This window comes from Homo sapiens, chromosome 1 (assembly GCF_000001405.40).
Source record: "Homo sapiens chromosome 1, GRCh38.p14 Primary Assembly".
Taxonomy (NCBI): Eukaryota; Metazoa; Chordata; class Mammalia; order Primates; family Hominidae; genus Homo; species Homo sapiens.
The window spans coordinates 31,435,567-31,452,442 of NC_000001.11; the positions used below are offsets into that span (position 1 = coordinate 31,435,567).

Sequence of the window (16,876 nt, forward strand, 5' to 3'; positions counted from 1 at the left end):
TAAGGCTCTCCTGGGTTCTGGGGTGAGTGACTAGTGGGGCTGCACGGGGACCTGTGGGGTCACCGAGGAGGCAGGACAGGCATCTGGAGGATGTGTAGGAGTCAGCTGGGCCAAGAGGAGCCACAGCACTGAGGGCAGGGGGACAACACAGGAGTCGGAGGGTGTGGGGTTCAAGGACCAGGGAGAAGCCAAGATGGCCAGGGCACAGAGAGGGGTGGGGTGGCGAGGTTAGTATGAGCTTGGAGACATGGGCCAGACCAAATCACACAGGCCCTTGAGAGTCATGGTGGGGAGACCAGACCTAATCCTGCTGGTAGTGGGGAGCCATGGAGGGTTTTAGAGCAGGGGAGAAGTGGTGAAGGTGTGGGCTGACCATGGAAAGGCCCTACATGATTTCGAGCCCAGCAGGGGCATGTCATTTTAAGATTGCCATTTTAGAAAGGTTTCCCTGGATGAGATAGAGGGGAGTGCAGCAGCTGGGGGCAGGTGCCAGGGCTCAGGGCAGAGGGAGTCGGGGCCTGCTGGGGCAGGGGCCGAGGAGGGCTTCTCTTGCCGCTGGGATGGATCTTGCAGATGCTCTTGTCCCTGGTGCCTTTCAGCTGAGACCCCTGTCTTCAGAGCAGCCTGAACCTCCTTCGCCCAACCACAGATTTCGCTTATTTTCTCATTTCACCCTTGGGAGAAAAAGCCCACGTTGTGCTCTTGATAACATTTTCTTTGCATTTGTGCAAGTGGGCAATTTTTTTTTTCTTTTTTTGAGACTGAATCTCACTCTGTCACCCAGGCTGGAGTGCAGTGGCACGATCTCAGCTCACTGCAACCTCCGCCTCCCAGGTTTCAGTGATTCTCCTGCCTCAGCCTCCCGGGTAGCTGGGATTACAGGCATGCACCTCCACGCCCAGCTATTTTTTTTTTTTTTTGTATTTTTTTTTTGTATTTTTAGTAGAGATGGGTTCACCATGTTGGTCAGGCTGGTCTCGAACTCTTGACCTCAGGAGATCCACCTGCCTCAGCCTCCCAGAGTGCTAGGATTACAGGCATGAGCCACCGCGCCCAGCCTAAGTGGGCAATTTTGTCCAGCTTTTGTAGCCTTGTTGCTCTATAGGTTTTAAATTATTCATTCAACAAATGTACTGAGCATGAGTTCTTTGCTGGGCTGGGCTGGAGCGGGACTGGCTGGGAAGGGTCAGGGGCCAGGCTGAGAAGCTGGAATGCCTGGCTAGAGAGCTGCAGGTCCCCAGTGTGGAGGTCACCACCTTTGGGAAGCCACCTCTAATCCCACAGGTCGGGCTTCCCCCTGTGTCTCCTCAGCCCTGTTCTTCCTTCCAGGCATTGGCTATGCTCATGAACCTGCTGGTCGATGTCAGGCCTGACCAGCTGCCCACCCAGGACCCAGGACATCCACTTAGCCTGTCTGCTGGGTGCTCCCTTGTCTCCTGCTGCCTAGCATTGTGGTTTCCACATATCCTCCTGTCTTCCCTTCTCCTCCCTCACCCTCATCTTTCCTCCACCTCCTGTTCTCCATCACCTTCTCTTTCTCAGTCACCTCCTCTTCTCCATCATCCTCTCTGTCACTTCTCTTTCCTTTACTCTCCTTGGTCACCTCCCCTCCTTTGTCAGTAGGTGGGAGAGGCCCGTAGGATCCCACTCTTTTTGTCTGCCAGCCCCTGACACATTGGGCTTCCCTGCTGGACTGGTAATGGGGAAAACGCTGTCCTCAGCCCTGAGGGCCCATGCTGTGCCCCTGGACACTGTGCCGCAGTCCCCAGGCCTGGGCTGCTGTCACTGCAGAAATACCAGTGGCAGCCTCAGCCCTGCCTGTCCTGGCGCATCTTTGGACCCAGGCTGTGGAATGAGTATCTGGGCAGAGTGAGTGCAAAGCTTATAGATCATGTCAGGAACAGAGGCAGTGTGATGCATGTGACGAGCCTGCCATTCCCAACCCCCGTGCCCTTTCCTGCCTCCATCACTGAGGCTGGAAAAGCCGGGTGGTCACTTTGCAGCTTCCCTCAGAGTTAGACGCCTTCAGCCTAATTAGATCTAAGTGGAAATGTTCATGGATATTTCCGGGAGTTCTTGCTTTCGTATTACACAGCACTGCTTCTTCCTTCTCCTCTTTGGACACAACCACAGTACCTGGGGCTGCAGCAGCTGTCTTGGGACAATGAGGCAACAAGTCTGAGGATGAGAAACCAACCTGGAGAAGATGGTGTTCAGAAAAATAGGAAGTTGGCTGGGCGCAGTGGCTCATGCCTGTAACCTTCAGAGCAGCCTGAACCTCCTTCCCCTGTAACCCCATGCCTGTAACCCCAACACTTTGGGGGGCAGAGGCAGGAGGATCACTTGAGTTCAGGAGTTCAAGACCAGCCTGGACAACAGTGAGACCCCATCTCTACGAAAAATAAAACATTTGGGCTGGGCGCGGTGGCTCATGCCTTTAATCCCAGCACTTTGGGAGGCCGAGGTGGGTGGATCACGAGGTCAGGAGTTTGAAACCAGCCTGACCAACATGGTGAAACCCCATCTCTACTAAAATACAAAAATTAGCTGGGTGTGGTTGTGCACACCTGTAATCCCAGCTACTCAGGAGGCTGAGGTAGGAAAATCGCTTGAACCCAGGAGGCAGAGGTTGTAGTGATCCGAGATTGCACTACTGCACTCCAGCCTGGCGACAGAGCAAGACTCCGTCTCAAAAACAAATAAACAAACAAAAAAGAAACAAAACACTTGTAATCCCAGCACTTTGGGAGGCCGAGGCAGGCGGATCAAGAGGTCAGGAGATTGAGACCATCCTGGCTAACACGGTGAAACCCTGTCTCTACTAAAAATACAAAAAATTAGCTGGGCATGGTGGCGGGTGCCTGTAGTCCCAGCTTCTTGGGAGGCTAAGGCAGGAGAATGGCGTGAACACGGGGGACGGAGCTTGCAGTGAGCTGAGATTTTGCCACTGCACTCCAGCCTGGGCGACAGAGCGAGACTGTCTCAAAAGAAAAAAAATATTAGCCAGGCGTGGTGGCGTGTGCCTGTAGTTCCAACTACCTGGGAGGCTGAGGTGGGAGGATCGCTTGAGCCTGGCAGGTCGAGGCTGCAGTGAGCTGTGATTGTGCCACTGCACTCCAGCCTGGGCGACAGAGCCAGACCCTGTCTTGAAAAAGGAAGAGTCTAGGTCTTTGATGCATCTTTAAGTCGCTACATCATCTCTGCTGTCCTTGACTCCAGATGCCTGTTATGTGAGGAGGAAAACAAACCCCAATACATGCAAGCCCCTCTTAGTTGAGTATTACGTTCCTTGCAACTGAATGTATTGCTAACTGATATGACTTGTGAGATGGTCATTCATTTTAGTGAAAATAAAAATAACAAACAGGAGAAACCTGTCTCCATTACTCAGGGACATTGGCTGCCAATAATGTATTATGTGTGCACAACCTCCCCATATCAATGTGTATATTTATAAACATATGTGTATTAGATATGTTTGTATAATATACATATGTATTTACCAGTAGGATAAATTATGACAAAATAGTTTTTTGAAGGTTTTGGGCCTCCTTCCCCCTTTTGGGGGAAGTTTGTGGAGGTGCAGCAAGTAGGAGAGGGTTACCTGCAAAATATAACTCCTCTCCTAACTCTGGTTTCCAAAAGCCTGGGTTCACTGAGGAGCTCCTGGGTAATGAGGGATGGGGCAGTGATGGAGGCAGCACAGGGGCTTCCTGGAGGGAGAGGAGAGAGTGAGGCACAGCTGGAGACCTCGAGAGAGAGAAGCATAGTCTCCAGCCCAGCCCTACAGTGCGCCTGGTGGGCTGGGACAGTGGGTATTTTGGCAGTAACCAGTGTGGATTGGTGTCCAATGGTGCTGGGTTCTTCCCACTCTGCCCACTGACTTGCTGCCACAGGTGACCCCAGGACTTTTGCTCTGTCCTGGTGAGGGATGTGTGTGTGTCAGAGAGAATGATGAATGGGCTGAGGTTGAATTTCCCACCAGCATGGTGGGATGGAAAATTTGGATAGAAAGTTGATGCAAAGCAAATGGGCCAGGTGCAGTGGCTCACGCCAGTAATGCCAGCACTTTGGGAGGCAGGGGCAGGAGGATCAGTTGAGCCCAGGAGCTTGAGACCAGTCTGGGCAACATAGCGAGACTTCATCTCTATTAAACACAAAAAAATCAGCCAAGTGTAGTGGCATGCACCTGTAGTCCCAGCTACTTGGGAGGCTGAGGTGGGAGGGTCCTTTGAGCCCAGGAGGTCGAAGCTGCAGTGGGCCGAGATTGTGCCACTGCACTCTAGCCTGGGCATCACAGTGAGACTGTTTCCAAAAAAAGGGAGAGAAAATGTTGATATAAAGCAAATGAATGATGCTGTTTCTTGCACACCTGTGAATTGTCATATCCACTTTATTGATTTATTTTTAATTTAATTTTATTTTTAGACAGGGTCTCGCTCTGTTGCCCAGGCTGGAGTGCAGTGGTGCGATCTCCACTCATTGCAACCTCTGCCTCCCAGGTTCAAGCGATTCTTATGCCTCAGCCTCCCGAGTAGCTGGGACTACAGGCGCATGCCATCATGCCTGGCTAACTTTTCTATTATTATTATTTTTCTTTGGTAGATACCAGGTTTCACCATGTTAGTCAGGCTGGTCTCAAACTCCTGACCTCAGGTGATCCACTCACATCAGCCTCCCAAAATGCTGGGATTATAGTCATGAGCCACTGCGCCAGGCCTCATATCCACTTTAAAATAATTTTAGATATAATGCAAGTTTATGGTTTGTTTGTTTTTACTTTTTCTTTTTTGAGACAGAGTCTCACTCTGTTGCCCAGGCTGGAGTGCAATGGTGCGATCTTGGCTCACTGCAATCTCTGCGTCCCAGGTGCAAGTGATTCTTGTGCCTCAGCCTCTCGAGTAGCTGGGATTACAGGGATGCGCCACAATGCCCGGCTATTTTTTGTATTTTTAGTAGAGACAGGGTTTCACCATGTTGGGCAGGCTGCTCTCAAACTCCTGACCTCAAGTGATCTGCCCGCCTCGGTCTCTCAAAGTGTTGGGATTACAGGTGTGAACCACCACACCTGGCTGCAGGTTTATTGTTTTTAAATAAAGCCCCACTTAAACAGTACAGGAGTATGAAAAGCATTTATCTACTTGACTTTTTTCAAGCAGCAGCATAGGATTCTATGGAATGAATATTCCATTGTTTATGTAACTAATCCTCAATTGATGGGCACCTATGCTGCCTTCAGTGTTTTGTTGTTTTGTTTTGTTATTGCTACCATCTGCGGCTGTGGTGATTCTGGAAGCTTGCCAGGCTCCAGGAAGAACATGGGCTTCAGAGCCGAGATCCTCTAAGTTCTCATCTCTCAGCTTTGCCCCCCAGCTGCTAGGGACTCTCTGGGCCTCAGTTTCCCCATCTGCAGAATGGAGATTGTAGTAGCATCCACCCCATGGCATGCTGCCTGTGTCAGTGAGAGCACGTCTGTAAAGGGCCTAGCACCATGCTGGGGAGAGTGGGGGCCAAAGAAGATATAGCCCCTTCCTTTCCCCGGCTATCAGTCCTCAGGTACTAAGACAGAAGGCTAGGCTGACCGATGAGGTCACCTTAGTCTTTCCTCTCCCTCCAGGGACACCTGCCTTTTGCCCCTCTGGAGGTGGCTGTGAATGACAGATGGCAGGATGTGGGGGGAAAATGATAACAGGAGCCAATGTTTATGGAACAGTTCTATGTGCCCCTCCTTGGAGCAAGGAGCTTTAATCCCTATAGCAAACCTGCTAGTGTACAGAGAAAGGAATTCGAAACAGAAGAGGGAGATGGAGACCCTGACCCCTAGTCTAATTAGCCCATTCTGTATTCTCTGCATAGCCTTTTTTCCTTCTTGTTTTGAGATGGAATCTTTCTGTCACCCAGGCTGGAGTGCAGTGGTGGTATCATAGCTCATTGCAGCCTCAACCTCCCAGGCTCAAGCGATCCTCTTGCCTTGGTCTCCTGAGTAGCTAGGACTACGGGCACACATCACCACACCTGGCTAATTTTTTTATTTTTATTTTTAGTACAGATGAGGTTTCACTATGTTGCCCAGGTCTGCATGGCCTTTGTTACTGGGTGTAATTATGTATCTATTTATATTCTCTGACTCCTCATGTGGTCGATGAGGGTGAGAATCTATCTTTGTTGTTTATAGTTTCCCAGTGCCTAGAACAGAGCCTGATAAAGAGAAGGTATTCAGCAAGCGTCGGGTTTCTTGATTGACTGGCTGACCATCTGAATGAACATTAGTTGATTCTGCAGCAGCCATGGGAAAGCCTGGGGGCAGGAGTGGTGAGTTTATAAAGGAATTGGGAGAGGAGGAGCCCTGGGCTGGGTCAAGAGGCCTGAGCTCTATTTACTGAGGTGTGCAGGGTCAGAGGACAATTCTGAGAAATGACTGTGAAGCTGAGACTTGCAGAAATGGTGAGAGCCCAGAGGGGCACAGAGCCTGGGGAGAGTGCAGGCAGGGAACAGCACCTGTAGAGGCTCTGCAGGGAGAGGACAGCGCCGGTGCAAAGTGTAGGGGCTGGAGCTCTGCGGTTTGGGGTGAAGCTGCAGAAGGGAGAAGGGCAGGGTTATGTGGTTCAGAGGTCACAGGCTGGGCCCCAAAGGCATGTCTGGTTTGGCCCTCGCTGTGTATAAAAAAACAAGAACAGGCAGGGCGCAGTGGCTCATGCCTGTAATCCCAATACTTGTGGAGGCCAAGGTGGGAAGATTGTTTGAGGCCAGGAGCTTGAGACCAGCCTGGGCAACATAGCAAAACCCCGCCTCTACCAAAAAATACCAAAATTAGCTGGGCATGGTGGCGTGTGCCTGTAGTCCCAGCTACTTGAAAGGCTGAGGTGGGAGGGTCGCTTGAGCCCAGGAGTTCAAGGCCGCAGTGAGCTATGATTGTGCCACTGCACTCCAGCCTGGACAACAGACTCTGCTTCTGAAAAAAAAAAATCAAACAAGAACTCAACACAGACTGTGATACCTGGCCACGGAGCACCTTCTCCATCTGCCCCACTTCCCACTGCTCCTCCTCAGTGTTCACCTGGTGTTTCACCCTTTAAGGGACCTGTCTGGCCCATGAAGTCATTTGTGTTTGCAAGTCCTGACGCAGGGCCAAGTACTGTGATCAGGCTGTTGAGAGTGATGAAGATGTTGTCATGGGGTCACCAAAGAGGCCTGATACCACCCTGCTCTGAAAAGGCTCAGCCTTTCTCCATTTGACTTCTCAAGAGGTCCCAGACTAGTGACATCTTAGCTTGTGAGCGTAGAAGGGCCCTTGGGAGAGGACAGTACCATATGGTGGTCAGATCCTGAGTGTGGAGTCAGGCAGGCCCGGGCTCACATCCGGCTCCTCCCCTTACCTCACCTCTTTGAGCCCCAGCTTCCTTGTCTGTAAAAGGGATGATGAGCTCCTACCCCACAGACTTGCTGGAGAGACATAGAGACACACAGCACTTAAAGCACTCCGTGCAGGGTTTGGATACATTTTCTTTGACCATGAGCTGTTCTGGACAACCCGGTCACTTTCTCATTTGTTTAACATGCCAGGGTGCAAGCGTTTGGCCAACTATATAGCTGAGAGGGAACACAGTCCACAAGATCACCCTCACTTCTTCTTCTCTTCCTTTTTTTTTTTTTTTTTTAGCTAGAGATGAAGTTCTGCCATGTTGCCCAGGCTGGTCCCCAACTCCTGGGCTCAAGCAATCCACCCACCTTGGCCTCCCAAAATGTTAGGATTATGGGCATAAGCCACCATGCCCAGCCAACCACCCTCTCATCTTCTTTTTTTTTTTTGAGACAGTCTTACCCTGTTGCCCAGGCTGCAGTGCAGTGGTGCGATCTCAGCTCACTGCAACCTCTGCCTTCTGTTTCCAAGTGATTCTCCTGCCTCAGCCTCCCGAGTAGCTGGGATTACAGGCACCCACCACCACACCTGGCTAATTTTAGGCTAATTTTTAGTATCTTTAATAGAAACGGGGTTTCACCATGTTGGCCAGGCCCACCTTCACTTCTGACACCAATTGCAAGTCCAGGAATTTCCAAAACCATCCTTAAGTTTTATTATTCACTAGAGGGACTCACAGAATCCACTGAAAGCTATTGGGCTGAGAGTTATGGTTTATTACAGGGAAAGGATAAAGATTAAGATCAGTTAAGGGAAGATGTGCACAGAACAGAGTCTAGGGAAGTATCAGATGCAGAGTTCCCACTGTCCTCTCTCCCTGAAGCCAGGATGCGTTACTTCCCAGCATCCATGTATGATGATGTGCATGGAGTATTGTCAACCATGGAGGCTCTCCTGAGCTCTGGAGTTCAGAGTTTTTATTGGGCCTCCATTATGCAGGCATCATTGACTGATTGCCCATGTGGTTGATTTCAGTCTCCAGGTCAACTGAGATAGTGTGACCCAGAGCTCCTACCCTAAATCATGTGGTTGGTCTTCCCACTCTACATCAAAATGTTGCTATCTGGATAGCCCAAGATCCCCAGACAAACAGAGATTACTTACCAAGGACAAAGGCCAGAACTCTTTTTGGCAAGCTTAAAGTCTTTCCTGTACACAAGGTCAGCCTGGAAGAGGGACCTGACTTGTGCCCCTTGGAAGATCCTGGAGTAGCCACCTGGCCTCTACCCTCTCTTACAGTCTGAAAAGTCTGGGGCTGGCGGGTTGAGGGCATAAGGTAAACAGTTCATACTTACTGAGCACTTGTTATGTGCCAGACAGTGGCTCAACCACTTCCATGTGTTATCTCAACTAACTCTCCCACCCACTCCCTGAAGTAGACATATTCATGGTTCTATTTCATGTATGAGAAAACTAAGGCAAGGAGAAGTGTCACCCAAGGCACACAGCCAATAAGGTTCTGAGCCTAGGATTTGGACACAAGTCTAGGTGACACCTAAGTCCACACTCTGTGCTCTGCTACCTTCTATATTCTAAAAGCATGGGTTTGGACTCAAATATGTTGGGTTTGTTGACTGAAATTAAGGCTGTTGAGGCAGAAGTAATTTGGTAAAAGTTTGTCAGAAACCAAATGTGAAGATTGACCTGGAAGACACACCAACACAATTAGGCATCTTTCCAAGTCTGTAACGAGTGGGATTGCTTTTATAAGAAAGTTTAGGAAAAGGGGCAGGGGGTTCCTCATTTCAGATTTGCCCTTTCTCTTTGGAGGGCACGATACAGAGGTTACAATGATTGACAACAGGTTATATCACATGGAAGAAAATGCTCTACATGTAAGCCAGTAAACTTCATGATTCAGACACAAATCAGTGTCCTTTTCCATGTCAGTAGGTTACATATTAATCAGCACGTCAACAGTTGGAGGAAGTCACGTAAGATTTGAGGGACTTGTGATAAGATTCTTTATTCAGGGACAGGATATTGCTGTGAATCACAAGACCTTCCCCTGGTTGGAAGCCTGCCAAATGTGACCTGTAGGTTATCAGGTTCAAATTCTAGGCTCAGCTGCATCTGGGTTGGGTGGCCTCAGCCAGGTCAGGGATATTCTGAGACTCAGTTTCCTCTTTGATAGCAGTCGAGATGCCCTCTCAGGGACCTTTGCCTCCTTGTTGGCCTCTTGACTCTGGTGAGATTGTTTACCTAATGCCCCCACAAGCCTAGGGATTGCACAAGTTTGGGGAGGAATCATAACTGATGCATTCTGTCACCTTCCACTCCCTGGGGACTGGCAGAGAGCAGACATCTGTAAATGTTTGCTGTTGTTGAAGTACATTGGAACATGCCCCCGAACCACCAGGATCCAGGATCTGCTGAGCAGCCAGAGGGCGGTGGATGGAGGCCTGGCACTGTTGGGTGTCCTCAGGGCTGGGTGCCCAAAGTGGGAGGACCCGCCCCCCCGCCCCACGCCGGGTGAAACCTAGGACCCTAGTCACACCTCAAGTGGAAAACATGGACCTTAATCCTGGAGAGCTGGCTGGGGTTTAAGTCAGTGCCACTGACTTGCAGTGTGGCCCTGGGCAAGGGGTAGAACTCTTCTGGCCTGGCTTTTCTCATTAGTAAAATAAGGGGTAGTTTTAGGCAATTTGACAGCTAACGTCTGTTTCCTGTCTTGGCCCAATGGCCCTTAGGAGCTCTGGTCCAGGTCCTCACAGAAGAAGAGTCTGTGGTGGTCTCTTTGAGAATGCCTCTTTCCCTCTGGTCTCAATGGCCTACTACTGGCCCAAGTGCCCTCCCACCACACACACACACACACACACACACAGATTCACACACACATGCATGCATGCACATATGCACACACGTGCACATAGCATGTGTACACACATGGACATGAGCATACTTGCACACAGCAATGCATTCGATGGACTGACATTCGATATCCATTCACCCCACTTTTCTGTGCCTTTGCCCCATGCTGCAGGGGGTTCTGAGTTAGAGCCAGGGTTCCCCTCACATAACAAAATTTACCATTTTGAAGATACAATTCAGTAGTATTGAGTACATTCACAATGTTAAGCAACCATCGCCTCTATCCAGTTCCAAAACATTCTCCTCACCCCAGAAGAAAACCTCATATCAATGAAGCAATCACTCCCCATTCCCGCTCCCCTCAGCCTTTGCAACCGCTAATCTGCTTCCTGTTTCTGTGGGTTTGCCTATTCTGGATATTTTATATGAATGGAATCATACACTCTGTGACCTTTTTTGTCTGGCTTCTTTCACTTAGTATAATGTTTTTAAGGTTCATCCATATTGCACTACTTCATTCCTTTCTTTTTTTTTTTAATTTTTTTTTGAGACAGAGTCTTGCTCTGTTGCCCAGGCTGGAGAGCCGTGGCGCGATCTCAGCTCACTGCAAGCTCTGCCTCCCGGGTTCACGCCATTCTCCCGCCTCAGCCTCTGGAGTAGCTGGGACTATAGGCGCCTGCCACCACACCTGGCTAATTTTTTGGGTTTTTTTTGTATTTTCAGTAGAGACGGGGTTTCACCGTGTTAGCCAGGATGGCCTCGATCTCCTGACCTCGTGATCCGCCCACCTCAGCCTCCCAAAGTGCTGAGATTACAGGCATGAGCCACTGCGCCCAGCCTACTTCATTCCTTTCTATGGCTGCATAATATTCCACTGTATGAATATCCACATTTTGTTTGTCCATTCATCGTCCTTTGATAAATTATTGGGTTGTTTCACTTTTTAACTGTTACGAAAAATGCTGCTGTACACATGCATGCACAGGTTTTTATTTGAACATCTGTTTTCATATCTCTTGGGTATACACCTAGGAGTGGTATCTAAAATTGTGTTTGTGAATGTGTGGATGTCTCACACGGAAATCAGGCTACACCATGCCAGTGGCTGCTCAGAGAGGTGCAAGGGAGGACACTGTGACCTCCTTCACCCTGACTCTCCCCTGAGCAGAAAACCAGAATGTCCACTAGGCAGGTCTCTTCCTGAATTGGACCACAACAACAAAATCTTAACTTGGCTTGTGCCTAGGACAGATCAGCCTGAGCCACGCCCTCATCTTACTATACTTACAAGGCTTTTCTGTTCAGATCACCTAGGAACATCTGAATAAGATGCCACCCCCACTGAGAGTCTTTAGAACTTTCAGTAACCAAGGCAGGACAACTCATCTACTCCCTAGTAGGATCTGAACCCTGAAGTGCAATAGTAACCACAGGCGAGTAATGGGACTTTGGACAAATTTCTCAAACAAAGGAGACTCAGTTTCCTGATCTGTAAAATGGCAATGATAGTGCCTTTTTCATTCCTTCATTCATTCATCCACTAGCGGTGCGTCACACACCTATTCTATAGCAGGCCTTGTTTACACAAGGATCAGCAGCAGATGTCACACTTGCCATTAGGGGGCTGAGATCTGGTGGAGGAGGTGGACGTAAATCCAGTAGCCACACAAACGTGTACGTTGTAAATGTGTCAAGGGCCATGATAGAAAGATAGCCAATGTCACGCACTTCCGTTAGGGGTGAGCCGAGGTCCAAAGCAGGGGTATAGAAGTATCTTGTGATTTTAATCTGCATCTCCTTCATGACCACTGACGTTGGACACTGTTTCATATGCTTATTGGACTACTGAATATCCTTTTTTGCTGTGTGTAAAGTGCCTATTTAACTCTTTAGCCCATTTTTAAATTGGGAGGTTTTTTCCCTGCTGATTTGTAGCAGATACATGGGAAGTGAGTCCTTGGTGGATATATATTTTGCAAATATCTTCTCATAATCTCTGTCTTATCTTTTCACCCTCTTAATGTTGTCTTCTGATGAACAGTGATTCTTAATTTCAAAGAAGTCTAATTTTTAACATTTTCTTTAGTTTTTAAAATTATTTATTATTATTATTATTATTTTTGAGATGGAGTTTCACTCTTGTTGCCCAGGCTGGAGTGCAATGGCACGATCTTGGCTCACTGAAACCTCTGCCTCCCAGGTTCAAGCAATTCTCTTGCCTCAGCCTCCCAAGTAGCTGAGATTACAGGCACGTGCCACCACACCCAGCTAAATTTTATATTTTTACTAGAGTCGGGGTTTCACCATGTTGGCCAGACTGATCTTGAACTCCTGACCGCAGGTGATCTGCCCGCCTTGGCCTCCCAAAGCACTGGGATTACAGGCGTGAGCCACCGCACCTGGACTAAATCTTTTCTTTTATGACGCTTATTTTGCCTTTATTAAGAAAATTTTGCCCCCTCCAAGGTCGGATATTATTTTATTTTTTCTTCTGGAATCTTTATTGTTTTGTTTTTACGTTTAGGGATATGATTATGATGTATCTCATTACTTCTTGTTATAGTGTGAAGTAGAAATCAAAGTCCATGTTTTTCCATATCGACCCAGCGCTACTTACGGAAAAGACAATCCCTTCCCTCCCACAGGAGAACTGTCATCAATCAGGTAGTTGTATATGTATTACTGTGTCTGGGCTCTCTGTTCTGGTTATTGGAGGATTTTAAATGAGCCTCAGATTTTCCTTCAGAAATGCTCACTCTGGATGCATTGTGGACGATGGATTGGTGGCGGAGTGGATCCAGGGGAATGTGTAGAAGAATATTGGCAAACCAAGAGGAGATGATGGTGGCCTGGATGAGGGTAGTGGTCGTGGAGGAAGAGGATGGAGGTGAAATCAACAGGGCTTGGTGATGGATTGGAAATGAGTGGAGGTAAGCTGGTGAAAGGGAATGTCAACAGTTTATCCAATGGTGTGGCTTTGGAAGGTTAAATGGTGGTGTCATACAACATGATCCACATTAGCTGGTTTAGGTAGAAAGGAGTTTATTAGGGTGTTAAATAATTAAACATGTGTTTTTGGCTCATGGCTTTGTGTATCATTTAGGATGCTTTGAACTATAGCCAACAGAAAGCCCTATTCAAACTGGTTTAAAAAAATAAAGACTTCACCAAAGGCTGAAGAAACAGACTTTGAGTTGAAGTTTCAGGAATAACTCCCGGGACTAGGTCATCAAGAAAACTGCTGTAATCAGAAAGCCACCGGCTCCAGAATGCATCACAGCTACCACCAGGGAGCCGCCATTATCAGGAGGCTGCTACTAATGTGCCACACCATCACACCACGCCTGCCACAGTCCTTGGCAGCAGAATAAATGCGTGTTCATGTCTTATTCTTGATGTCCACTAAGCTAGGAAAACCACATCTTTACCAACTGTACGACAGAAAAACCAGATGTCTTCACAACTGTGTTGTTAGCAGAAATGGCAAAAACAACAGGAAGATGGCCTTCACCTTCCTTCCATTTTCTACATCTTGTGTGACTGAATCTGATTGGCTGAGTCTTAATTGTCAGAGTCCTGGCTGCCAGGGACCCTGGCATAGCATGCTAGAAGGAGGTGCTGACCCAATGTATCCATCACATCACATCAAACCACACAAAGTATGGTGATATTATGTTCTTTTCTGTCTTTCTTACTGGATGGAGTGGGTTCCAGGAGGGCAGAGTTCTATTAACCTTCTTTTTTTTTTTTTTAAGACAGAGTCTCGCTGTGTCACCAGGCTGGAGTGCAGTGGCATGATCTTGGCATCTTGGCTCACTGCAACCTCAACTTCCCAGGTTGGAGCAATTCTCCTGCCTCAGCCTCCTGAGTAGCTGGGACTACAGGTGTGCACCACGGCACCTGGCTAATTTTTGTATTTTCATGTTGGCCAGGCTGGTCTCTAACTCTTGACCTCAAGTGATCTACCCACCTTGGCCTCCCAAAGTGCTGGGATTACAGGCACGAGCTACTGCATCTGGCCTCTATTAACCTTTGAGTCTGTCTAATGACTTGGTATAGTGTAGGTGCTGATTAAATGTTTGTTGTATGGATTGATTAAACATGTGTTTTGGCTCATGACCTTGTGTATCACTTAGGACGCTTTGAAGTATAGCCAACAGAAAGCCCAATTCAAAGTGCTTTAAAAAGTAAAGAAAATTTATTGATTCGTGTGACTAAGAAGGTCAGAGGTAGGTCTGGCATCAGATGAGACTTGATTAAGCTGTTTGACAGTGTCACCAAGAGCCTGATTTCTTGTCATCTCCCTGTTCTGACATCTCTGATGTTGGCTTTATTTTTCCTCTTCTTAATTTCAAATGCAAGACTTTATGACTAAACCTATAGACTTATAACAAACACCACATACCACATATGATTCTTCATAATAATCACTACCACTAGTTGAGTGACTTCTAAGTTTCAGACACTGTGATAAGCTCTTTATGTGACATGTCTCATTAAATCCTCACATAATTCTGTTAAGTACGTACTATACAATTTTCTCTTTTATAGGCAAGGGAACTGAGGCTTTAAAGAATATTCATTATTACAAAATGCCAGTGTTTTATCAGGCTTCAGTTCCTCCTTACAGAGGAAGCTACCCAGGAGAGCTAATGTGTCTATTATACATGTTCATTCATTCACTCATTCATTTTTTTGACAAGTATTTCTTTTTTTTTTCTTTTAGTTTTTCATTTCCATAGGTTTTTGGGGAGCAGGTAGTATTTGGTTACATGAGCAAGTTCTTTCGTGGTGATTTGTGAGATTTTGGTGCACCCATACGTAACCTGAGCAGTATACGCTGAATTTAATTTGTAGTCTTTTATCCCTCACCCACTTCCTACACTTTCCCACTGAGTCCCCAAAGTCCTTGTGTCATTCTTCTGCCTTTGCATCCTCACAGCTTAGCTCCCACTTATGAGTGAGAACACACGATGTTTGGTTTTCCGTTCCTGAGTTACTTCACTTAGAATAATAGTCTCCAATCCCATCCAGGTTGCTGTGAATGCCATTAATTCATTCCTATATGGCTGAGTAGTATTCCGTCATATATATATACCACAGTTTCTTTATCCACTCATTGATTGGTGGGCATTTGGGTAGGTTCCACATTTTTGCAACTGTGCTGCTATAAACATACGTGTGCAAGTTATCTGTTTCATAGAATGATTTCTTTTCCTCTGGGTAGATACCCAGTTGTGGGATTGCTGGATCAAATGGTAGTTCTACTTTCAGTTCTTTAAGAAATCTCCACACTGTTTTCTATAGTGGTTGTACTAGTTTCCATTACCATCAGCAATGTAGAAGTGTTTACTTTTCACTGCATCCACACCAACAACTGTTATTTTTTTATTATGGCCATTCTTGCAGAAGTAAGGTGGTATTGCATTGTGGTTTTGATTTGCATTTCCCTGATCATTAGTGTTCTTGAGCATTTTTTCATATGTTTGTTGGCCATTTGCATATCTTCTTTTAAGAATTGTCTATTCATGTCCTTATCCCACTTTTTGATGGGATTGTTTGCTTTTTTCTTGCTAATTTGTTTGAGTTTGTTGTAGATTCTGGGTATTAGTCCTTTGTCAGATGTATAGATTGTAAAGATTTTCTCTCACTCTGTGGGTTGTCTGTTAACTCTGTTGACTGTTCCTCTTGCTGTTCTAAAGCTCTTTCATTTAATTAAGTCCAACCTATTTATCATTGTTTTTATAGCATTTGCTTTGGGGTTCTTGGTCATTAAATCCTTGCCTAAGCCAATGTCTACAAAGATTTTTTCTGACGTTATCTTCTAGAATATTCATAATTTCAGGTTTTAGATTTAACTCCTTGATCTATCTTGAGTTGATTTTTGTATAAGGTGAGAGATAAGGATCCAGTTTCTTTCTCCTACCTGTGGCTTGCCAATTATCCCAGCATCATTTGTTGAATAGAGGGTCCTTTCCTCACTTTTTGCTTTTGTTTGCTTTGTTGAAGATCAGTTGGTTGTAAGTATTTGGGTTTATTTCTGGGTTCTCTATTCTGTTCTATTGTCTAAGTGCCTATTTTTATACCATTACCATGCTGTTTTAGTGACTATGACCTTATAGAATAGTTTAAAATCCAGTAATGTGATGCCTCCAGATTTGTTCTTTTTGCTTAGTCTTGCTTTGGCTATAAATGAATTTTGGTTCCATATGAATTTTAAAATTATTTTATCTAGTTCTGTGAAGAATGATGGGCTGGGCGTGGTGGCTCACACCTGTAATCCCAGCACTTTGGGAGGCTGAGGCAGGCAGATCACAAGGTCAGGAGATTGAGACCATCCTGGCTAACACAGTGAAACCCTGTCTCTACTAAAAATAAAAAAAAAATTAGCCGGGCGTGGTGGCGGGCACCTGTAGTCCCAGCTACTTGGGAGGCTGAGGCAGGAAAATGGCGTGAACCCAGGAGGCGGAGCTTGCAGTGAGCCGAGATCGCACCACTGCACTCCAGCCTGGGTGACAGAGTGAGACTCCGTCTCAAAAAAAAAAAAAAAAAAAAAAAATGATGGTGGTATTTTGCTGGAAATTGCATTGAATTTGTAGATTGTTTTTGGCAGTATGGTCATTTTCACAATATTGATTCTACCCA

At 46.8% G+C, this 16,876-nt stretch overlaps 2 long non-coding RNA genes across 2 annotated transcripts in view; one reads left to right on the forward strand and one right to left on the reverse strand.

Moving 5' to 3' along the window:
* LOC124903900 (uncharacterized) overlaps nt 1–16,876 on the reverse strand; it is a 45,067-nt gene that overhangs the window by 9,157 nt on the left and 19,034 nt on the right. The window lies entirely within an intron of this gene.
* Nucleotides 10,288–15,083, forward strand: LOC105378625 (uncharacterized). Its single transcript, XR_007065578.1, has 4 exons — nt 10,288–12,895; nt 12,978–13,161; nt 13,335–13,890; nt 13,987–15,083. It is a non-coding gene; the product is annotated as an uncharacterized LOC105378625 (long non-coding RNA).